The sequence below is a fragment of the Homo sapiens genome, chromosome X (assembly GCF_000001405.40).
Source record: "Homo sapiens chromosome X, GRCh38.p14 Primary Assembly".
In the NCBI taxonomy this organism is placed as follows: domain Eukaryota; kingdom Metazoa; phylum Chordata; class Mammalia; order Primates; family Hominidae; genus Homo; species Homo sapiens.
The window spans coordinates 39,329,923-39,356,122 of record NC_000023.11 but is presented as its reverse complement, the minus strand read 5'-3'; the positions used below and the strand labels follow the sequence as shown (position 1 = coordinate 39,356,122).

At 40.6% G+C, this 26,200-nt stretch overlaps 1 annotated feature.

Moving 5' to 3' along the window:
- Positions 19,023-19,102: an enhancer, noted in NCBI's record as "active region_29524". NCBI's record gives its function as "activates an Ori minimal core promoter by ATAC-STARR-seq in GM12878 lymphoblastoid cells {active_cell/tissue: GM12878}" and the evidence as "EXISTENCE:reporter gene assay evidence [ECO:0000049][PMID:35858748]".

The window sequence follows — 26,200 nt, the reverse complement described above, 5'->3', positions numbered from 1 at the left end:
TATTCAGATGCACCATCAAGGAAGGACTTGTTTCCCAGCTGCTGGGAGTGCCATCAGTGGACACTCTCAGCTGTCAGCCTTTTCCAGGCTGGCCTCAGTGGCAGAAAGAACTTTGCACCTTCTTGGGGAAGCTCATATCCAGTGGGTGATTTCTACAAGATTGTAAAGGCTTGACCATCTTGACCTATCTTGGAAGGACCATTCTAGCTCCACAGCTCCCCATGGGGTTGGCCCTGCTTCCCAGCAGCTGGTGAGCTCTGTCTGGCCATTCTAGCTTCCTTCCTCTCATTTCCCAGATGTTGATCCCAAGGTCCCTCCTTAATCCACATCCTGCACACTAACCTCAGTCTCAAAGTTTTCTTCCCAGGAAACCCAGCTGGTGACAGACACACACATTTATATTCTTGCTGTTTTCTTTCCTTCCCTCTTTCTCTCTCTCTCTCTCCACACACACACACACACACACACACACACACACACACACACACACACACTCTACTTAATTTTCTTTCCTCCCTGGGCATTAAAATTTACCTTTTCCCTTGGATCTCTCCTTTGTAACGTACTGAAGTTTTGTTCCCAGGAAAATAATTATGTCCGTGTTTCTCGCCCCAACTGGCACCAGCTGCCTGGTTTAGACCTTGCAATTGTCTCTTGGACTGTGCTAGAATCTTTGGCAGTTCCTTACTTTGCATTTTCTTCATCAGCACAGTGGGAAGAACATAGGTTTAGGAGAGACGAGACCCAGTTTGTAGTCCTAACTTCATCACTAATCAGCTGTAGGACCTTGTGAAAACCATTTTCACTCCTATGCCTCAGTTTCCTTGTCTGTAAAAGGAGTTCCCATGAAGTCTACCTCACAGAGCGAGAGATGGTATCTGTGTCTGTACTGTGATGTGCTACATAATTTTTAGTTTTATTAAACACATCAGGTGGATTAAGCCATGTGACAATTTTTCCCTTTATTCTCTTTCCTGATTTTTTTTTGGTTCCTTGATTGTGCAAAGGCAGCAGAGCCCTCACCACCACAAAACAGCAACTCTATTATTTACTGAGCCCTTACTATGACTATTCATTTTAATGTCTCATTTGATTCCCACAGCCATCTTGTAACGATGGCTCTATTATCCTTTCCTACAGATAGGAGCACAGAAATTTGGGAGGTCGATAACTTGAGAGTTTATTCAAGGTTAAATGGCAAGTGAATGCTGGTGCAAGATCCACATTTAAACTCCATCGTGTCCAACATGCTTAAGGTAAAAGGGCAGAAAGAGATATTCCATGCAAATGGACACCAAAAGTGAGCAGGAGTAGCTATTCTTATATCAGACAAAACAAATTTTAAGGCAACAGCAGTTAAAAAAGACAAAGAGGGACATTATATAATGATAAAAGGACTAACCCAACAGGAAAATATGGGCATTATATAATCATAAAAAGACTAGTTCAACAGGAAAATATCACAATCCTAAATATATATGCACCTAACACCAGAGTTCCCAAATTTATAAAACAGTTACTACTAGACCTAAGAAATGAGATACACAGCAACACAATAATAGTGGGGGTCTTCAATATACCACTGACAGCACTAGACAGGTCATCAAGACAGAAAGTCAACAAAGAAGTAATGGACTTAAAATATACCCTAGAACAAATGGAATTAACAGATATTTACAGAACATTCTACCCAACAACTGCAGAATATATACTCTATCAGCACATGGAACGTTCTCCAAGATAGACCATATGACAGACCACAAAAGAAGCCTCAACAAATTTAAGAAAATTGAAATTATATGAAGTACTCTCTCAGACCATAGTGGAATAAAACTAGAAATAAACTTCAAAAGGAATCCTCAAAACCATGCAAATACATGGAAATTAAATAATCTGCTCCTGAATGATCATTGCATCAGCAATAAAATCAAGATGGAAATTAAAAAATTATTTGAACTGAACGATAACAGTGACACAACCTATCAAAACCTCTGGGATACAGCAAAAACAGTGCTAGGAGGAAAGTTCATAGCATTAAATACCTACATCAAAAAGTCTGAAAGAGCACAAATAGACAAACTAAGGCCATACCTCAAGGAACTAGAGAAACAAGAACAAACCAAACCCAAACCCAGCAGAAGAAAAGAAACAACCAAGCTCAGTGCAGAACTAAATAAAATTGAAACAAAAAAATACAAAAGATAAATGAAACGAAAAGCTGGTTCTTTGAAAAGATAAATAAAATTGATAGACCATTGGCAAGATTAACCAAGAAAAGAAGAGAAAAGATCCAAATAAGCTCAATTAGAAATTAAACTGGAGATATTACGACCAATACCACAGAAATACAAAAGATCATTCAAGTCTACTATGAATACCTTTACATGAATAAACTAGAAAACCTAGAGGAGATGGATAAATTTCTCAAAATATACAGCCTATTTAACCTAATAAACAACAATCTATTTATTCCTAGATTAAACCAGAAAAAATAGAAACTCTTGACAGACCAATAATAAGCAGCAAGATTGAAATGGTAATTAAAAAGGTACCAACAAAAAAAAAGTCCAGGACCAGATGGGTTCACAGCTGTATTTTATCAGACATTCACAGAAGAATTGGTACCAATCCTATTGACACTATTCCAAAAGATGGAGAAATAGGGAATTTCCCCTAAATCATTCTATGAAGCCAGTATCACCGTAATACCAAAACCAGGAAAAGACATAACAAAAAAGAAAACTACAGACCAATATTCCTGATGAACACAGATGCAAAATTTCTCAACAAAATACTAGCTAACCAAATCCAACAGCATATCAAAAAGATAATGCACCATGATCGAGTGGGTTTTATACAAGGGATGTAGGGATGGTTTAACATATGCAAGTCAATAAAATGTAATACACCACATAAACAGAATTAAAAACGAAAATCACATGATGATCTCAATAGATGGAGAAAAAGCATTTGACAAAATCCAGCATCCCCTTATGATTAAAACCCTCAGCAAAACTGGCATAGATGGGACATACCTTAAGGCAATAAAAGCCACAGCCAACATTACACTAAACGGGGAAAAGTTGAAAACACTCCTCCTGAGAACTGGAACAAGATAAGGATACCCACTTTCCCCTCTTCTATTCAACATAGTACTGGAAGTCCTAGCCAAAGCAACCAGACCTGAGAAAGAAATAAATGGCATCCAAATTGGTAAAGAGGAAGTCAAACTGTCACTGTTTGCTGAGACATACATGATCATATACCTAGAAAACCCAAAAGACTCATCCAAAAAGCTCCTAGAACTGGTAAATGAATTCAGCAAAGTTTCAGGATACAAAATTAATGTACACAAATCAGTAGCCCTGTTATAAACCAACAGCGACCAAGCTCAGAATCAAATCAAGAACTCAACCCCTTTTATAACAGTTGCAAAAATTAAAATAAAATACTTAGGATTATACCTAACCAAATAGGTGAAAGACCTCTACAAGAGAACTACAAAGCACTGCTGAAAGAAATCACAGATGACACAAACAAATGGAAACACATCCCATGCTCATGGATGGGTAGAATCAATATTTTGAAAATGACCATAATGCCAAAAACAATCTACAAATTCAATGCAATTCCCATTAAAATACCACCATCATTTTTCACAGAACTAAAAAAAAAATCCCAAAATTCATATGGAACAAAAAAGAGCCTGCATAGCCAAAGCAAGACTAAGCAAAAAGAACAAATCTGGAGGCATCACAATACCCGACTTTATACTATAAGGCCGTAGTAACCAAAACAGCATGGTACTGGTATAAAAATAGGCGTATAGACTAATTGAACAGAATAAAGAACATGAAAATAAAGCCAGATACTTATCCCCAACAGATCTTCAACAAAGCAAACAAAAACTTAAAGTGGGGAAAGGACACTCTTTTCAACAAATGGTGCTGGGATAATTGGCAAGCCATATGTAGAAGAATGAAACTGGATCCTCTCACCTTATACAAAAATCAACTCAAGATGGATCAAAGACTTAAATCTAAAACCTGAAACCATAAAAATTCTAGAAGATAACATTGGAAAAACCCTTCCGGACATTGGCTTAGGCAAAGACTTCATGACCAAGAACCCAAAAGTAAATGCAACAAAGATAAATAGATGGGACTTAATTAAACTAAAAAGCTTCTGCACAGCAAAAGAAATAATCAGCAGAGTAAACAGACAACCCACAGATGGGGAGAAAATCTTCGCAATCTATGTTTCTGACAAAGGACTAGTGTCCAGAATCTACAAGGAACTCAAACAAATCAGCAAGAAAAAAAACAGATAATCCCAGCAAAAATTGGGATAAGGACATGAATAGACAATTCTCAAAAGAAGATTTACAAATGGCCAACAAACATATGAAAAAATGCTGAATATCACTAATTATTAGGGAAATGCAAATCAAAACCACAATGAGATACTACCTTACTGCTGCAAGAATGGCCATAATAAAAAAATAGTAGATGTTGGCATGGATGTGGTGTTGAAAAGGGAACACTTTTACACTGTTGGTGGGAATGTGAACTAGTACAACCACCATGGAAAACAGTGTGTAGATTCCTTAAAGAACTAAAAGTAGATCTACCATTTGATCCAGCAATCCCACTCCTGGGTGTCTACCCAGAAGAAAAGAAGTCATTATACAAAAAAAGATACTTGCACATGCATGTTTATAGCAGCACAATTCGCAATTGCAAACGTATGAAACCAGCTCAAAAGCCCCTCAATCAATGAGTGTATAAACAAAATGTTGAATATATGTACCATGGAATACTACTTAGCCATAAAAAGGAACGAAATAATGACATTTGCAGCAACCTGGGTGGAATTGGAGACCATTATTCTAAGTGAAGTAACTCAGGAATGGAAAATCAAACATTGTATGTTCTCACTCATAAGAGGAGCTAAGCTATGAAGATGCAAAGGCATAAGAATGATACAATGGACTTTGGGGAACTCAAGGGAAAGTGTGGGAGGCGGGTGAGGGATAAAAGACTACACACTGGGTACAGTGTAAACTGCTCAGGTGATGGGTGCACTGAACTCTCAGAAATCACCACTAAAGAACATATTCATGTAAAAATAAAAATAAACTTGATTGTGTCAAAAGCCCATACTGCACAAAGAGAGATAAGTCTCCTGGATGTCATGATTGACTCAATGGAATAGGATGAGATCAATCCATAGATCTACCAGAAATCCTAGGGAAGGGATGATGACCTTGATACTTTTTTTTCTTCCTTCCTTCTTTTTTTATATTTAGATGTTGATTAATTTTTATTTTTTTCCGTAAGTTATTGGGATACAGGTGGTATTTGGTTACATGAGTAAGTTCTTTAGTGGTGATTTGTGAGATTTTTGTGCACCTATCACCCAAGCAGTATACACTGCAACGTATTTGTAGTCTTTTATCCCTCACCCCTCTCTCACTCTTTCCCCATGTCCCCAAAGTCCATTGTATCATTCTCATGCCTTTGTGTCCTCATAGGTTAGCTCCCACATATCAGTGAGAACATACGATATTTGGTTTTCCATTCATGAGTTACTTCACTTAGAATAATAGTCTCCAATCTCATCCAGCTTACTGCACATGCTGTTAATTCATTCCTATTTATGGCTATGTAGTATTCCATTGTATATACCACAGTTTCTTTATCCACTCGTTGATCGATGGGCATTTGGGTTGGTTCCACGATTTTGTGATTGTGAATTGTGCTGCTATAAACATGCATATACAAGTATGTTTTTTTGAGTAATGACTTATTTTGCTCTGTGTAGATACCCAGTAGTGGGATTGTTGGATCAAATAGTCATTCTACTTTAATTATTTAAGGAATCTCCACACTGTTTTCCATAGTGGGTGTACTAGTTTACATTCCCACCAGCAGTGTAGAAGTGTTCCCTGTTCACTGCATCCATGCCAACATCTACTGTTTTTTATTATTATTACTATTTTTATTATGACCATTCTTGCAGCAGTAAGGTGGTATCACATTATGGTTTTGAGATTTTGATTTGCATTTCCCTGAACATTAGTGATGTTAAGCATTTTTTTTCGTATGTTTGTTGGCCATTTGTATACCTTCTTTTGAGAATTGTCTATTCATCTCCTTAGCCCACTTTTTGATGGGAGTGTTTGTTTTTTTCTCACTGATTTGTTTGAGTTCGTTGTAGATTCTGGATATGAGTCCTTTGCCAGATGTATAGATTGTGAAGATTTTCTCCCACTCTATGGGTTGTGGTTTACTCTGCTGACTGTTCATTTTGCTGTGCAAAAGCTCTTTAGTTTAGTTAGGTACCAGTTATTTATCTTTATTTTTATTGCATTTGCTTTTGGGTTCTTGGTCATGAATTCCTTTCCTAAGCCAATGTCTAGAAGGGTTTTTCCAAGATTATCTTCTAGAATTTTTATAGTTTCAGGTCTTAGGTTTAAGCCCCTAATCCATCTTGAGTTGATTTTTGTATAAATTGAGAGATGAGGATCCAGTTTCATTCTCCTACAGGTGGCTAGCCAATTATCCCAGCACCATTTGTTGAAAAGGGTGTCCTTTCCCCACTTTAAGTTTTTGTTTGCTTTGTTGAAGAGCAGTTGGCTGCAAGTATTTTGGTTTATTTCTGGATTCTCTATTCTGTTCCATTGGTCTATGTGTCTATTTTTATACCAGTACCATGCTGTTTTGGTGACTATGGCCTTATAGTGTAGTTGGAAATCAGGTAGTGTGATGCCTCCAGATTTGTTATTTTTGCTTAGTCTTGCTTTGGCTATGTGGCCTCTTTTTTGGTTCCATATGAATTTTAGAATTGTTTTTTCTAATTATGCGAAGAATGATGGTGGTATTTTGATGGGGATTGCATTGAATTTGTAGATTGCTTTTGGCAGTATGGTCATTTTTACAATATCAATTCTACCCATGAATGAGCATGCGATGTGTTTCCATTTGTTCGTGTCATCTATGATTTCTTTCAGCAGTGTTTTGCAGTTTTCTTTATAGAGGTCTTTCGACTCCTTTGTTAGATATATTCACAGGTATTTTATATATTTTTGCAGCTATTGTAAAAGAGATTGAGTTCTTGATTTGATTCTCTGCTTGGTCACTCTTGGTGTATAGAAGAGCTACTGATTTGTGTACATTAATCTTGTATCTGAAAACTTTTCTGAATTCTTTTATCAGTTCTAGGAGCTTACTGGAGGAGCCCTTAGGGTTTTCAAGGTAAATGATCATATCATCAGCAAACAGTGACTGTTTGACTTCCTCTTTACTGATTTGGATGCCCTTTATTTCTTTATTTCTTTCTCTTGTCTGATTGCTCTGGCTAGGACTTCCAGCACTATGTTGAAGAGGAGTGGTGAGAGTGGGCATCCCTGTCTTTTTCCAAGTCTCAGAGCGAATGCTTTCAACGTTTCCCCACTCCATATTATGTTGACTGTGGGTTTGTCATAGATGGCTTTTATTACATTAAGGTATGTCCCTTGTATGCTGATTTTGCTGAGAGTTTTAATCATAAAGTGATGCTGGATTTTGTCAAAAGCTTTTTCTGCATCTATCAAGATGACAATGTGATTTTTGTTTTTAATTCTGTTTATGTGGTGTATCGCATTTATTGACTTGCATATGTTAAACAACCTCTGCATCCCTGGTATGAAACCCACTTGATCATGGTGGATTATCTTTTTAATATGTTGTTGGATTCAGTTAGCTAGTATTTTGTTAAGGATTTTAGCATCTATGTTCATCAAGGATATTGATCTGCAGTTTCCGTTTTTAGTTATGTCCTTTCCTGGTTTTGGTATTAGGATGATGCTGGCTTCATAGAATGAATTAGGGAGGGTTCCTTCTTTCTCTATCTTGTGGAAAACTGTCAAAAAGATTGGTACGATTTCTTCTTTGAATGTCTGGCAGAATTCTTCTGTGAATTTGTCTGGTCCTGGACTTTTTTGGTTGTTGGTAATTTTTTAATTACCATTTTGATCTCTCTGCTTGTTATTGGTCTGTTCAGGGTATCTAACTCTTCCTGATTTAAGCTAGGAAGGTTGTATTTTTCCAGGAATTTATCCATCTCTTCTAGGTTTTCTAGTTTATGTGTGTAAAAGTGTTCATAGTAGCCTTGAATGATGTTTTGTATTTCAGTGGTGTCAGTTGTAATATCTCCTGTTTCATTTCTTAGTGAGGTTATTTGGATTTTCTCACTTCTTTTCTTCATTAGTCTTGCTAATGGTCTATCAATTTTATTTATCTTTTCAAAGAACCAGACTTTGTTTCATTTATCTTTTGCATTTTTTTTTGTTTCTTTCAATATCATCTAGTTCTGTTCTGACCTTGGTTATTTCCTTTCTTCTGCTGTGTTTTGTTTGGTTTGTTCGTGTTTCTCTGATTCCTTGAGGTGTGACCATAGATTGCCTGTTTGTACTCTTTCAGACTTTTTGATGTAGGCATTTAGGGCTATGAACTTTTCCTCTTAGCACTGCCTTTGCTGTATCCCAGAGGTTTTGATAAGTTGTGTCATTATTGTCATTCAGTTTGAAGAATTTTAAAATTTCCATCTTGATTTTGTTTTTGACCCAATGCTCATTCAGGAACAGGTTATTTAATTTCCATGTATTTGCATGGTTTTGAAGGTTCCTTTTGGAGTTGATTTCCAGTTTTATTCCACTGTGGTCTGAGAGAGTGCTTGATATAATTTCAATTTTCTTAAATTTATTGAGGCTCGTTTTATGGCCTATCGTATGGTCTGTCTTGGAGAAAGTTCCAGGCTCTGTTGAATAGAATGTGTATCCTGTGGTTGTTGGATGAAATGTTCTGTATATATCTGTTAAGTCCATTTGTTCCAAGGTGTAGCTTAAATCCATTGTTTCTTTGTTGACTTTCTGTCTTGATGACCTGTCTGGTGCTGTCAGTGGAGTATTGAAGTCCCCCACTACTATTGTGTTGCTATCTATCTCATTTCTTAGGTCCATTAGTAATTGTTTTATAAATTTGGGAGCTCCAGTGTTAGGTAGATATATGTTTAGGATTGTGATATTTTCCTGTTAGACAAGACCTTTTACCATTATATAATGTTCCTCTTTGTCCCTTTTTACCTCCGTTGCTTTGAAGTTTGTTTTGTCTGATAGAAGAATAGCTGCCCCTGCTTGCTTTTGGTATCCATTTGCATGAAATCCCTTTTTCCACCCCTTTACTTTAAGTTTATGTGAGTCCTTATGTGTTAGGTGAGTCTCCTGAAGGCGGCAGATAGTTGGTTGATGAGTTCTTATCCATTCTGCGGTTCTGTATCTTTTAAGTGGAGCATTTAGGCCATTTATATTCACTGTTAGTATTGAAATTTGAGGTACCATTGCATTCCTCATGTTCTTTGTTGCCTGTGTACTTTGGTGGGTTTTTTTTTTTGTTGTTTGTTTGTTTGTTTGTTTGCTTTTTAACTTGTATTTTTGTTTTATAGGTACTGTATGATTTATGCTTTAAAGAGGTTCTGTTTTGATGTGTTTCCAGGATTTGTTTCAAGATTTAGAGCTCCTTTTAGCAGTTCATGTAGTGGTAGCTTGGTAATGGTGAATTTTCTCTCAGCGCTTGTTTGTCTGAAAACGACTGTATCTTTCTTTCATATATGTTGCTTAGTTTCTCTGGATACAAAATTCTTGGCTGATAATCGTATTGCTTGAGGAGGCTGAAGGAGTGCCCCAATCCCTTCTAGCTTGCTGAGGCTGCTGCTGAGAAGTATGTTGTTAATCTGATAGGTTTTCCTTTATAGGTTACCTGGTGCTTCTGTCTCACAGCTATTAAAATTCTTTCCTTCATCTTAACTTTGGATAAACTGAATACAGTGTGCCTGGGTGAAGATCTTTTTGTAATGAATTTCCCAGGTGTTCTTTGTGCTTCTTGTGTTTGGATGTCTAGGTCTCTAGCAAGGCTGGGAAAGTTTTCCTCTACTCCTCCTCCAAATATGTTTTCCAAGCCTTTAGAATTCTCTTCTTCCTCAGGAATACCGATTATTCTTGGGTTTGGTCATTTAATGTAATCCCAGACTTCTTGGAGGCTTTGTTCGTATTTTCTTACTCTTTTTCTTTGCCTTCTTTGGGTTGGGTTAATTTGAAGACCTTGTCTTCAAGCTCTGAATTTTTTTCTTCTACTTGTTCAATTCTATTGCTGAGACTTTCCAGAGCATTTCACATTTCTAAAAGTGTGTCCAAAGTTTCCTAAATTTTTTATTGTTTTTTCTTTAAGCTATCTATTTCCTTGAATATTTCTCCAGTCACTTCTTGCATCATATTTTGGATTTCCTTGCATTAGGCTTTGCCTTTCTCTGGTCCCTCCCTGATTAGCTTAATAACTAACCTCATGAATTCTTTTTCAGGTAAATTGGGGATTTCTTCTTGGTTTGGATCCATTGCTGGTGAACTAGTGTGATTTTTTTTTTTTGTGGGGGTGCTGTTGAAGAGTCTTCTTTTTTCATATTACCAAGGTTGGTTTTCTGGTTCCTTCTCATTTGGGTGAGCTCTGTCAGAGGGAAGGTCTAGAACTGAAGGCTGTTGTTCAGATTCTTTTGTCCCATGGGGTGTTCCCTTGATGCAGTACTCTCTTCCTTTTCCTATGGATGTGGCTTCCTGTGAGACGAACTGCAGTGATTGTTGTCTCTCTTGTGGGTCAGGCACTCAGTTAATCTACTTGGCTCTGGGCTGGTACTGGGGGTTGTCTGCACAGAGCCCTGCCATGTGAACTGTCTATGGGTCTCTCAGCTGTGGATACCAGCACCTGTTCTGGTGGAGGTGGCAGAGGGTGCAATGGACTCCATGAGGGTACTTAGCTTTGGTGGTTTAATGCTTTATTTTTGTGCTGGTTGGCCTACTGCTAGGAGGTGGTGCTTTCCAGAAAGCATCAGCTATAGTAGTGTGGAGAGATATTGAGGTGGGTGGGGCCCTGGAACTCCCAAGATTATATGCCCTTTGTCTTCTGCTACTAGGATGGATAGGGAAGGAGCATCAGGTGGGGGTGGGGCTAAGCGTGTCTGAGCTCAGATTCTCCTTTGGAGGGTCTTGCTGAGGCTGCGGTGGGGGATGGGGGTGAGATTCCCAGATCACTGGAATTGTGTACCTAGGAGGATTATGCTGCCTCTGCTGAGTTGTGCAGGTTGTCAGGGAAGTGGGGGAAAGCCGGCAGTCACAGGCCTCACCCAGCTCCCATGCAAAGTGAAGGGCCAGTCTCACTCCCACTGTGTCCCCGCCAACAGCCCTGAGTCTGTTTCCAGGTGGAGGGCTAGAGGGGCTTGAAAACTTGCCCAGGCAAAGAGGAGGGCTTTAGTTCTTTCCCGACCTGTGAAGTCTGCATGCTGTATTAGTGCCCTCCCCTGAGTTCTGACCAGGAGGCTTCTCACCCAGTTCAAATTGTTACAAAGTTCAGCTAGAGAATTCCTTCTCCCTGTGGAATTTTACCCCCTGCTCCTCTGGCCACCCTCCCAATGGATCCCTGTGGGGCCAGGCAGGACTGGGCTGCTTGGGGACCCAGCAAGCTCCCAGGGCCTTTCTGCTGCTTCCTCTACCCGTGTATTTTGCTCGGCTCTCTAACTTGACTCAGCTCTATGTAAAGTTAGAAACTTCTCCTGCAAACAGACCTTCAGCTTCTCCAGTGGGGGTGTGTGTTTGGGAGAGTAGAGTCTCCCTTTCCTACTTCTGCAGTTGGGGCACTCACAGTATTTGGGGGTCTCCTGGGTCCTGCAGGAGCAGTCTTCTTCCTTCAGAGGGTCTGTGGGTCCTCTTGGGATTGGTGGTTTGTTCTTGCAGTCAATCTGGAGCTAAAATTCACAATGCAAGCCTCCACATACTGCTCTCCAGAGCTGCAATCTAGTCTGCCTCCTGTCCACCATGATCTCAGGAGCTCCCCAACCTTGATACTTTCTTGAGAATTTGGCTCTAGTCTATTTATTACCCAAGAGCCAGGGGCAAGCAAAAGAAGATCTGGGGTCAGGAACACTGAGATGTAATCCAAGTTCTGCCTGAATTAGTTGGAGAGGTTTGCACAAATCTCTTAAATGTGGCAGGTTTTCACTTTGTCATGGGGTACATAGCTGCATGATTTCTGAGGTATTTTCTTGCTCTCAAATGCAGATCACCCGCTGAAATGCCTACTTTCTATTCTCTGACTTTCTAAATCCCATCTATCTCTCAGACTGCAGCCCAAATCTTATCATCCCACAGTTGTACCCATTGACTTCAGCCTGCACTGACCTCCCCATTTATGGCTGCCCATGGGCCCTAACTTTTTTCATATTCATTTAGATGCTTATTTATGTGCCATCGGGCAGAGGACAAAGAGCTCACCTTTGGACTGAGACCAACATTTAAATCTAGACTCTGGAATTTATCTGTGGTGCAACTTTGGGCAAACCATCAACCTCTCTGAACTTCAGCTTCCTCTTGGTAAAGTGGTGATGGTGCTTACTTCACAGAGTAATTGTGAGAAAATGATATGATAATTTTATGCATGGGAAACTTCAAGATATTATATCAATCTTAGTTTAAATTATCAGTATCATGATTAATCAGTAGTTGATTTGCAATTTGATGGAGCATTCCTGGAAAGTTGGGACTTTCTCTTCTGTAGGATCTAGGACATGTGTGTGTAGTTGGCACTAAAGACTCCAACTGGCCTGAATTGAGCCTGATATCCAGGAAAAATATCTGGTGTATTCTCTGTGAAGCAATGCATGAAGATGGTTGAATTTTTGAGAAGCAGGCAGTACCTCTTCCAATCTGACCTCAAAGGTGAGGAAACTAACCTTGGATTCTATAGAGTGTGGGATCACACAGTTCCTCCAACCACTCTATGGTATATGCCACAATATTCACCTTGTCTTAAGATCACAGAATGCAGGCTAGATGCTTCAACCAGGACAACTCTATGTAATAGGCAGTTGCTATATTGGAAACACGGTATTGGAGCTTGTGGGCCAAAGTTCCAATGCTGTGGGCTAGCATATATGTGGGCCAAAACCACATGTATGCTAGCAGAAGCATAGGCACAGGAAAGGCAGTCCCTGGAAATGGAATGTGAGGGATAGGCTGTTGCAAGAACAGGAGAAGGATAACTTTGTGCTGTAAATAAGGACTACTCAACAATAGCCCACAAGACCTCTAAGACTGTCTAAAAGAAAGACGGATCAATGTGTGGGTAGGTGAAAGAAATCCAACCATGCATAAGAAAGTCAGGTATGCTGGGTGTTTTCTGGTTGTCTCTCATTCCCAAGACTGTCCTTCCTTATTCTGTGCTGTAATGCTGGGGTTGAAACTTGTCAAGGTTTATGTCCCAGGATCTTTTGCAAGTTGACTCCCATTATACCCTGCTGATAGGAGGCACTGGTAGGAAACCAGAAGGCAGGAGATAGGAAGCAGCATTGTCTGCCCCTCTTTCTCTTTCTGTTTCCTTCTACCATGGGGGTCTCTGGGAGTAGCTATGCCCAGTCCTCCATGGTCTCAGTTCCTGAGGTGATGGTCCCTCCTCTTCATTCACAGAGGTTAGTAACCACCTCCTATTTGTTCTCCTAGCCTTCACAGTGGTAGCTGTTTCCTGTAGTTTCTAATCTTTTGGTTAATTGACTTTCTTTTGCCTTTTTCAGACTTCCAATACCTGGAAACCAATACCCCGTTTGAAATCCTCTCTGTTTAAAATACCTAGTTGGTTTCTGTTTTCCTAACTGGATATTCCATAATGTAAAGTAGAGATCAAGGAGCAATAGTGCTCGATGAGAGCTACTGGGGAAGTTTCCTTTCCATTAATCTTGGCAATACATTTGGTTGAGACAAATGGAATAATAGTAATAATAATGTTATCTAGCACACAAAAACAGTCATCATGTACCAGCCATTATTCTAAGTCATATACATATATTAACTCATTTAATCCTCACAACAGCCCTGTGAGACAGGTACTATTAGTTTGCATCTTACTGATGAGAAAAGTGAGGCACAAGACACAGAGAGATTAAGTGAAGTTGCCTGAAGACATACAGGTGGTAAGAGGCAAACTGATATTCACACTTAAGAAGCCTGGCTCCAGAGTCCATAATTTTAACCACTGTCTTATCTTGGTTGTCTCTAAAAGCAGACCTTGAGACAAATATTTGGGTTCAAGTAATTTATTTGTGAAATGTTTTCAGGAAGCACAGTGAGAAATGAGGCAGAGAAGAAAAGAAGAAAGCTGATAAAAAGAAAATGTGTTAATAAGTTGGTTACTGCTGTGGGCAACTGGGACTTGATTCTGCTGGGGGTGCCCTGAGAGGGTGTGTATGGCCCAGTATTGAGGATCATTCCTCATGTGTTAATTCCCTGGTCATTTCAGTCATACCCTGCATGTGCCAAGCATGCTCACGTGACCAGAGAACAGCCTCAACCAGTGGGACACAGTAGCCTCTAGTCATATATATGATGTTTCAGCAGTGACCTCCTGGGTGGGCAGAAGGGATATGGGCAGGGCATTGAAAGTGCCTACTGTACTCACTGAATTACAATGCTTCTTGGTCACTCAAAATCATGTCCAACTAGTTGTATCACGAGTAAGATGGCAAGTACAGATCACTGTATGGAACTCAAGAAACTCAGAGCTACTCTTCCTACACCCAAGGAGATGTTTCTAATGTCAATGACCAAGATGATCTCACCCTTCATCTACCTTCATCTTATCTGTCACCATGTCACATAGACTTTACCTCCTTAGTAGCCCTTCTGCTCCTTCCTTTCTGCCTCCTCGCTTTGTCTTCATTCAAGCCTTCATTGTCTCTCAGCAAGACTGGCCTCCCAAACTCCATTCTCTGACCCTTTCCAATATACCTTATTGCTGGAGTCATCTTACTAAAACACAAATCTGATCACGGCCCTCCCCTAATAAAATCCCTTGAGATTTTCCATAGCTTTCAAGGAAAAGGCCAAAATCATTGATATGGCAAATGAGGCTACCATCTATGAATCTAACACCGCCTCTCATACATCCTACACTCATGGACTCATTTCCATGCACAGTCTGACATATCCATGCCTTGCTGTATGTGAGTCTTGTGTCCTGACACCTTCTCCCTCTTCTTCATCCATCTCTGATTTACAAGATTCATCTCAGACATTGCTTCTCCCAGCAATGTCTTCTTGCCCCCACTCCATGTTCTCAATAGATGTGCCTGTTGCTCTCAAAGGGCTCTGCATTCCCTGTACCCAGCATAGTATTTGCCGCATGGTGAAGTTGACCAAAGAATTTTTAGTTCAAACTGGGACACTTCTGAGAGTGAAAGGGGATATTCATAATAATTATATAAAGACAACTCAGACTATCCTAGGGTAGTCACCACGTATTGTCACCCTAACACCCATAGTAGATGCCCAATTCATATTCAATTCAATTATCAACAAACTCACATAATCCCTACAAATTTAGTGAAGTGATCTCATAAACAGAGCTCACATATCACAGGAGGCGTCCAAGATGAGCCATTGGAGGCCAGAAGTATTAGAAAAAAATATATATAAATATATTCACATATATAATTTCTCCTAAATCTCTCTTCTGTATGTTTGACTATTGGATCAGTCAGCTGGCGTCACAATTATGGTGAATGACAAAATCACCCTCAAACTTTGTGACTTAAAATAACAAACATTTATCCTCATTTTCATGTTTGTGGGTTGGCTGACTCAGGCTCTTCTGGGCTGCCAAGCTGCAGGTTGAGCATTGGTCTGCTCCACGTGCGTCTCTTCCTCCTTGGACCTGCCTGCTACCTGTCAGGTTCTTCTCATGGCAATGGCAGATTTGTTAAAGGGTTAGCCAAAACTTGCAATGATATTTCACATCTCTGACTGCATCACATGTGCTAACATCCCATTGTCCAAAACAAGTCACAAGCCCAAGCTCAATGTCAAGGAGTGAGGAGATATACTATGGCTACCATGATGTCATGGCAGGAATGTGAATGTACAATACTACTCCAGAGGAGTGAAGAACTGGAACCAATAATTCAATTTATCTCATTATGTATGCATTATATTAGGGCAGTAGTATACACACACATACACACAAACATGCACACACCTGGAGCCACTATATAACTTATAGATACATATGTGTTTTTATATATATATATATATAATATAATATATATATTTTATACATACACACATACATACACACATATATGTAAATATGGAACTCAAAATATTTCATGGATCAACAGAATTTGGACACAGCATCATATTATTACCATATGGTAGGTAGTACGTCTGTTAGTGCTCAGTAGTCATTGATTGCCTCTCCCAGGAATCATAAATACCCTTTTGTTGACAGTTGAAAATACTTAGCCATGCTGTCTTATATCCAGTGGCACATCAGTGTCCTAAGGAATCTCAAGGTCTTGTGACATAGGTACCTCAGATGCTGAGATTCAGGAGAACCAGGTTCCCATCCAGCTCTGCCACTTACAAACCACATGATATTGGGTCTCCCTCTGAATGTTTTGGGGGCTCAGTTTCCTCTTCTGTAAGAGGGAGCTATATTACCTGCCCCATCTACTTTATGGAGTTGCTGTAAAGATGAAATAATGAGAAACATCTTAGAAAGTATATGTTATCTTAAGGCTAGGCCCTGCAAGCAGCAGCCTCTGAGGCAAGGACTGAAGTGTGAGTTGTTTATGTAGAAGCTGACCAAGGGAGCACTGCTGGAGAGTGGGAAGTGAGACAGGGAAGGGAAGGCAGCCAATAAAAGGCATGCTGATGAGCACGTTATTGCTGTGGGCCACTGGGGCTCAGTCCCACTAGGTCTTCTGGGAGATGCTACAGAGCACATGTTAAAGTTGTCCACCCAAGGGATGCACAAGCTGGACTATGTATGCACCAACTTCCTGTCTGGCATTGGTTGGTGGCTGCTTCCTCTGCCCATCAGAATAGTCCAAGATTCCATATCTTGGCTACTGTGAATAGTGCCGCAATCAACATGGGAGTGCAGATGTCTCTTTGACATACTGATTTTCTTATGTTTGAGACATGTCTGCACTCTCATGTTGATAGAAGTACTATTCACATTGGCCAAGATGTGGAATCCACCTAAGTGTCTATCAACAGATGAATGGACAAAGAAAATGCGGTGCATATACACAATGGAATATTATTCAGCCTTTAAAAAGAACAAAATTCCATCATTTGCAGCAACATGGATGAGCTTGGAGGACCTTATGTTAAGTGAAATAAGCGAGCCACACAAAGATAGATGCTGCATGTTCTCACTTACATGTGGGAGCTAAAAATAGTTGATGTGATAGAAGTAGAGAGTAGAAGAGTGATTACTAAGAGGCTAGAGAGAGTGGAGTTGGGAGGAAGGATAGGGAGAGGTTGGTTAACAGATACAAGAGTACAAACAGGTAGGAAGAATAAATTCTAGTGTTCTATAGCAGTATAGGGTGACTATAATTAACAAAAATTATATATTTTCAAATAGCTAGAAGAGTGGATTTTGAATGTTCCCAACACAAAGAAATGGTAAATGATTCAGGTGATGGATATAGTACTTATCCTGATTTGATCACCGCACATTGTGCTCATGTATCAGAACATCACACTGTACCTGATTAATATGTACAATTATTGTGTGTCAATTAAAAATAATAATAAAAGCCAAAAGAATTGTCCAGGAGTCTATGACACTGAGTCAATAATCTCTCCAGAGCAGAGTATCTGCCTGACCTCATTTGTGAAAATACATTTGTATGGAACTTCAGACTATTTCAAGCACTTGTATTTACACATCACAAAGCAGTATAGTGTGACTGTTCTGAGCACTGATCCTGGAGCTAGGCTACCTGGGTTCAAATCCCACCTCTGCCACTTACCAATTGTGTGCCCTTGGGCAAGTTATTCAACCTCTCTGTGCCTACATTTCTTATGTGAAAAATGGAGATAAAATAATGGTACCTATCTAGTGGAGTGGCTGTGACTATTGAATAAATTAATAAAAGTAAAGCTTTTGAAACAGTGTCAGGCACTCAGCAGGTAACAGTTTATGATATTCTTATAAATCATATACAAAGCAAGTAAAGAGTATGATTCCTTTTTGAAAGCTGGGGAAACTGAGGCAGGGGGAAACTTGCACACTCATCTGTCAGATTTGGTTGCTTTCTTTAACTCTACCCTCAGCCCTTGCCCAGTCCTTAGTTTCTACCTGGTCTGAGTTGGCAAAGGCTGGCTTCTGTGAGCTCACACGCTCCAGGCTCTGGCACAGCTGGAAACACCGGTGTGTGTGTGTGTCCTCTGCATCCCAGTGGTTCTGAATGGCAGGCACTCAAGGAGAAAAAGGCAATGCTTCAGCATGAATGCACACAGCCAGCCCAAGCAGCCACCCTTCCAGGAGCTCTGGGCCCATTGGGCAGCCTCGAAGCAGGAGCTATTGGGTTCTGGATGGCATACTCCACACCTTCCCCTCCCTGTGTAGAGTTTGGCAGGTTCCCTGGTTCATGTTTGCTCCCCCACACACAGATGGTGCCTCTTCCAACACAAAGACAAACACAAACACTGCTCTCTCTTCCCACGGCATCTTCTAGAGACCTGGCGGACACATGGGCAGATTAGTCCGGATTAAAGTTGGTGATATTTTTCTGTCCTTGAAGAGAAAGAGAGAGAGAGAGAGAGAGAAGAGAGAAAGGGGGAGAGGGATAAGGGGGGAGAGGGATAAAGAGGGAGAGAGAGAGGGAGAAAGGGAGAGAAAGAGAGAGAGAGAGAGACCAACAGAATAAGGAAAAAAGACACAGAAGTGCATGGACCAAAAGAGAGGATCAAATTTCCTTGATATAAAGCCAGGATTTGGAAACAGAGGAGACAATTATAGTCTCTGCTTTCTGGCAAAGACACTCAGTGACAGTGGGTTCCTGTGGCCCTGAGTAAATCTGAAGGAGAGAGCAAGAGTTGGGGGCCTGCAAGTGTGACTGTGATAAGGACACTCATGTTGTTAGTACAGAGGAAAAACAAAGCACAAAGTGAAACTCTCAGAGTGTGTTCTATTGATAGATCTAAATCGAACACAGGAAACGGCCCTGGCCACAGGGATATTGTAAATATGAAGGCAGCCGTGGGACTTGTAGTGTGTGCATGAGGGTGTGGTGTAACTCAGGACTGCAGGACTTCGTGGTGGGTCTTCTGCCAGAAAGCAGTGGCTGTAATTGTCTCCCTCTCTTTTTCAACCCTGCCTTTAGACCTGGAAAGAGCTTTATCCTCCTTCTTGGTCTCTGAGGTCATTTGTTAATGTAATAGTTACTGGGTGTTCCTCTGAGATGCAGGCATTAGGCCAGGCACAAGAAATACACATATAAATATGATGTCAGCCCCAGGCTCCAGGAGCTCCCAGTCTGGAAGAGAAAACAGAAACATCGTCAAAGAAACCAGCTCCACAGCAGAGGGGGTCACAGAATAACATAAACATGCTCATGTGCAGTACAAACTCAGAGACATCAACTCCAAAGAGTAGGAAACTTGGTGATAACACTCAGAATCACCTAAGATGTGTGCTTCCTGAATGCAAAGCCTGGACACAACAGTGATCTGGGAGAGAGAGGCTGGCCCACAGGCTCCCTGGAGCTAACGATTGTCCACTTGGGCAGGGTCCTCTGATGGGGTAATCTGGGGGCTGCAGGAGAGGCCCTAAACAGCTCATCTCCCCACTGCCATCTCCATGTTACAATATCTAAAATTTCGACATGAAAGAAATACTTCCTCTTGGCTTTTTAAAAAGAATTTCTTTCATCTGTAGAAGCACTTCACACCTGGAGCAGCAGTAGCATTTTCGCTGGGCTGCCACTAACATTAGATCCCTTGATACCTGGGGCCTCTCAGGGCACCGAGTTTGCAGTTAAGGGAATTCCTGGAGGTGTGTGCAGTAAAGAAACATACAAAGGTGTTAGCAAGTCCCTAGACCTCTTTTCTGAAGGCTGAAAGGCGCTGGAGGAGAACAGAGTAGAGGTGAAGTGGTAGGTCCTAGAAGCACGGAGAGAGGACTGCCCCATGGCCTTGAGTAGCACTGCCTGTGGGTTGATGTATCTTTAGGAGGGGGTTACAAAAGCTCATTGGACAAACTGCTATGGGCTTAGGATGTGCTATGTGACAGGGTGTCTCTATATTTTTAGACACAAATTATTGATGGTGTCACAATGTTGAAAAGAGGCAGTTTGTGGCCATTTTTTCCAGGGGGAACACTTCTCATTTTCACGTATCAGTGTCTGAGTGACTTTGTGTGCCAGACACTGATGGTTGTTTAGACAAAGGGTGTTCCCCATTTTACCTTGCTAATGGAACTTTGGTTTGTTCATTGGCAATGTGCCCAGGCTCAAAGGATAAATCATGATTAGACCAAGGCAACCAGACAATTCTCTTTTGCAATTGACTAGTACCTTGTGACCCAGTTCTGGACCGTGAGATGTAAGAAGATCTGTGCTGGAGAGACACTGAGAAATACTAGCTCCTCGATAAAACAAGGCCACAAGAGAACAAGGCCTTTTACCCCTTCTTTTCTTCCTGCTTTGGATGCTGACATGTGAGGATGATGCCTGGGGCTGCTGAAGCCATCTTGAGACCATGAGGCAGCCAATCTGAGAATAAAGGCATCAGTCTGAGGATTGTGCAATTGGAGGATATTTGTTGGCCTGGTTAAGCTGCTGAACCAATCCTGCAACTGGCCACCTCCAGGCTACTGGTTAAGTAAGCAATATGCATACTTGTGGCATAAGCCACTGGTAGGTAGATTTTTCTGTTGTACTGAAATATATCCTAACTGCTATTTCATACTGACATTGGAAATTGGAGACCAGAGTAATCAATAAGATGAAAACATATACTGTTAATTCTTCCAGGTGGGAAATACAAGTTGTTTTCTGTTTAGGTAGAGCACTGAACCTCACAAACACCAAATTTATTTGTAAATCGATTGATTGTTCATTGGCGTTCATTATGAGGGAGCCTAGGACGGCAGAAAGCTCATGGGACTGGTGTCTAGATAGCAAAGTTTTGGTCTCAGGTCTGTGATCTCAGGCATCAGTTCTCTCTTTCTGTAGAAGAAACACAAAGGTTTGAAATTGAATCAAAGCCCGACATTCAATAGGGCATTAGTCCAGGACAAATTTTCCAGACTGTATTTTTTTTCTGTGACTGAAAACCCTTACTTCTTCAAATCTGAATCTTAAAAGATGAATAAAATTCATCTTTAAATAAAATATCTTTAATGTGAACTAATATTTTATTTTAGTGATAAAATAAATGAATAAAAAGAGTTTCAACTGGTTTCTCTTGTTTATTAAATAATGTAATAAATATATATTACATCTATATCATTTTTAATTGATCCATGGTGGAGAATTTGAAGAGCTTACCTTTTCTTAGTAGAGTTTGTGTTGGGAAACACAGAACTAGATGGCTCTGATTCTGAATAGAAAAATGTGTTAGAGTTCTTTGCCGATACAAAGAGCCAAAACGAAGGTTTCAGCTGGTGGTGTTCTAGTTTCAGGGGGCCAGGGCAGAAACACTTAGAACAGAAACTGGGATGGCATCCCAGCTTCCTGCCTGTTGTTCAAGCCCACCCTGACTTTCTGGGTGAGGGACCTGTTTGCCAATGCTATGCTTCACTTATGACCCTGAATAAAAATCTGGATACGCTGTTCTATGGAAGTAAAGCAAAAAACTTTAATTTAGGAACTGTCATATACTAGTGTATGGAAATCCATTTCTGAGGCCCTTTGAATTCTTGTTTTCATAGGACAAGATCAATGGCTAAGAATCAGATAGTCAAATGCTGGAGGACTCTTTACTGAGCTCTGCTACAGGCACAGTGCTATGTGAAGACATGGTCCTTCTTTTCTAGGATGTCTGTATGTATGCATAGTCTAGAGAAGCTGATATTACAAGAGGCCCAATCCCATTTTTCTGGACAGAAGGAAAGCAGTCGACAGTTATATAAATGGACAAATATAATTATATTGCTCTGGAGTGGGACTGCTCTATGATTTAATTAAATCAGACGCGTTTAGCCCATTTCAATGGCTATTGAGGCTTCTCACTTTCAGAGTAGCTTCAGAGAGCCTTTTGGACTGAATTGTCTCGATGCAAAACACAGCTGAGTTTTGAAAATGGAACCCAGTGTCCCCAGTGTATTTCTGCCCCCTGACAGCCTAGGAGTATTTTTTTTTTCAGAAAGTCGAGAATTCAATACATCATGATTCTTTTTTAAATCATAGAGCTTTCTGCAGCCAACCAATCTGGAGTCCCAGTGAGTTAACTGCATTCTTTATCCCAAGGCAGTTTGGTAGAAGAAATTCTATTAGTTCTGCTGGATGCTGGTCTGAGTCCCAATCAGAAGATGAAGCAAGAAGACGAGATTGGCTGAATATACATATGTTTGTTTTGGGGTGAGGGAGTATCTTAAGAAAAGAGAGTTGGATCAGAAATAGAGCTAGACTCAAAGAACACTGCAGGCGACAGAAGGCCAGCACACTATCTTTCCACATGGAAAAAGAATGCCTGAGAATGAAGCTAATGCCAAGGAAAGCAAAATGAGATGGAGAAAAGGAGACAGAGTTGGAATCTGAACTCTTAGCTACAAGCAAAGCTTTATATTTCTGATATATGTAAACCAATAAACTCCTCTTTTTATTAAGAATAATAAAAAGCCAAGCGTACCACAGATTTGGTCCAAAAAGTCTAGCTTCTTCAGCAGGAAGGCAGGTAGCAAGGAAAGTCCTCAAATTTTCAGAAATGTAAAGAAAGAATTAAAAAATGGGATCAGAGACTGTGAAAAAATAAAGGTGATAATAAAAGTGCTTTGGAGGTATGGAGTGCTTCATAGTTTCTAAAACAACATCAGTTCTCAAGACATACAATAGATACTTCAACTTGTCTCAATGCTGCAGAGCACTGTGGGACTATTGGAGCTTTGATATGAGTACTGTATGTTTATGAATGCAATCTAGGGTAGCATTAGCTTTTGGGGGCATTTCATTCCAAATAACTTAATTGCCACAAGGTTCCTATGGGATTGATAAGTCAAGTATTGTTATTTATTATTATTCCCATTTCAATAATAAAGAAATATTCAAGGTCACAAAACTAAGAAGCGGCAATATTGGGAATTAAATGCAAAACATCTGACTCCAAGCTCAGTGCTCTTTCCACCACGGTATCATCCAATTATCTATTCAGTTATCCATCCATCCATCCATCCATCCATCCATCCATCCATCCATCCATCTACTCTTCCTTCCTTCTGCTTACTTATTCATCCATCTATCTGTTCATCTATTCAACAAACACTAATTAGACTACTTTTATGTGATAATGCTTCAGGTTCTGGATATAAAAAATGTAACTTTAGTATTTAGACCTCCACAGGCTTTGAGGGCAAATGAGGTGCTATGGTTTGGTTATTTGACCTTCTAAAACTTATGTTGAAATGTGATCCCCAATGTTGGAGGTGGGACCTGGTGAGAGGTGTTTGGGTCACAGGGACAGATCCCTCATGGTAATGAGTGAGTTCTTGTTCTAGTTCCTGTGAGAGCTGATTGTTAAAAAAAAAAAAAAAAAAAAAAAAAAAAAAGCCTGATTCCTCCTCCTCCTCTCTCTCTCTCTTGCCTCCTCTCTCACAATTGATCTGCACACACCAGCTCCCCTTTGCCTTCTGCCATTAGTGGAAGCTTCCTGAAGCCCTCACCAGAAACACATGCTGGTGCCATGTTTCTTGTACAGCATGAATAACTGTGAGCCAAATAAACTTATTTTCTTTATACATTGCCCAGCCTCGGGTATTCCTTTTATAGCAGTACTATTGGACAAGACATAAGTCATACTAGAATTTATATCTGTGTTAGGGTTCTCTAGAGAACCAGAATCAATGGGATGTGTGTGGGTGTGGGTGGGTGTGTGTTGGCGGGGGGAGAGAGGGAGACAGAGATACAGAGACAGAGATAGAGAGAGATTTATTTTAAGGCATTAGCTCACACAATTATGGAAGCTGGAAAGTCCAAAATCTGCAGGATAGGTTAGCAGAGGCTGAAGGCCCAGGAAAAAGCTAGTGTTCTGACAGAATTCCCTCTTGGTCAGAGAAGGTCAGATTTTTGCTCTATTCAAACCATCAGCTGATTGGATAAGGCCCACCCATATGAGGGAGGGTCATCTGCTTTATTCAAAGCCCACCCATTCAAATGTTAATCTCATCCAAAAACACCCTCACAGAAGCAACCAGAATAATGTTTGACCAAATATCTGGGCACTGTGATCCAGCCAAGTTGACACATACAATTAACCATCATAGTATTTAAGTTGCAACAGCATGTTGTTTCTACCGAAAAGGCTACAGGATGATAAAGTTTCCTCCAGGTTTTTCTGAGACTGCTCAGAGAAAGCTTTGACTGTGAGAAGAAGTCCACTCAGGTTTTGTAACTTTGGCATCTTAGAGGAGAACCACAACCAGTCAACCATTCAGGAGATGACTCTTCTTCATGGACCCTGCTCCAACGCTGCTGAGAAGATGTGGTTCCCCTGGGGACTATGGTCATACTCACAGTTCCACCACACATCAGTTCTTTCCGGCAGTGCCAACCCTGAAGTGCTAGAGTGCCAAAGTTGCATTGAGATCTAGAGTGAAAAGATATGGGGAAAGAATGACTTCCTCTCCAAACTTGGGTGGCTTTTTATCCCTTGGGTCCTGGAAAGTTCCACTTGTCTCTGTCTCACATGCTTTTATAATGAAATCAGCCTTTTCCATGTTGACCTTTACCCAAATGGTCTAACTGATTGCACTTTAAATATATAACCACAAACCTCGAAATAGCATTCTAACCACATGGCAAGCCTTCTTAGGAAGCTTGTTAAATTTGCCCTCTGATAAACCTACTTCACACTTTCTTCTCTTTCTTCAAACGTACATTTCCCCAACTCCTTACTCAAAAGCTTATGCTCTCATGTCATTCTTTGTTAACAAAGTGGAAATAATGACATGAAGCCTCCATATTTTCAACACTAACCCAACAAATTTACATGCTCTGATTTCCAAGTTACCAAGTTACCAAATCCAATGGACACTCTCCTTATCCCTCATTGTGCTGGTTCTCGCAGAAGCAATTGACACAGTTGGCCCTCCCTGCTTCTTCTTCTCTTTTAAATTTAAAATTTTTTTGAGACAGGGTCTTGCTCTGTCACCCAAGCTGGGGTATGGTGGCACAATCACAGGTCACAGCAGCCAGCTCAATCTCCTGGGTTCCAGCAATCCTCCCACCTCAGTCTCCCAAGTAGCGGGGACTACTGGTGCAAATCACCACACCTGGCTAATTAATTTTGTTTTTGTTTTTTGTAAAGACAGGGTCTCACTGTTTCCCAGGCTGGTATTGAACTCTTGGCCTCAAGCGATCTTCCTGCCTCAGCCTCCCAAGTAGCTTGGATTACAGGCACCAGCCACCATGCCTGGCCCTCCCTGCTTCTTAAAATACTTCCATACCTCATTTTTCATGACACAAATTTTGCTCTTTGTCTTCTACTCAACTTCTACAAAGATAACTCCAAGGTTTAGTCTCACAGTCATCTTTTCTTTATCTATACCTACACTCCTAGGTGATCGCATACAGTCTCATGACTTTGAATACTGAAGCATCTATATTCCAGATTTACATTTCCAGCACAGACCCCTCCAAGCTTATAGATAACCTGCTTAGTTTTGTTCATTTGGGTCCTCCAAAAAACAGACTGGATTACAAGTGCAAGAGATTTATTGGAGGAAAATCCTGTCAAGTAAAACAGCAGGTAGGGAGCTAGAGCAGGTGGAGCCTCCAGAGAGCAATGCAGGTCTGACACCTGTGGAAGGAGAGTGAAGGAAGGGGACTTGGGTAGAAAAAGTCTTGGACTGTAGCAGAATTCCAGAAAATGTCCAGCCAGGCTGATGAAGAGTCCTTGAGCCAAGGTTGCCTGTCAGAGGAGTCCCCATGTCCTGCAGGAGTGGACCTGCTTTAGTATCCCTGGTGTCTTCAGTCACTGCCTGGGAGCAGCCTGTGGCAAATGTGGCCTCAGTGTGCAATGTAGAAGGTGGGACCATCAATCAACTTTGCTTCATGCAGCAAGAGATCTAAGTGACACATTTTCACCACCCCAATATCAGTTAACATCTCTTCTTTA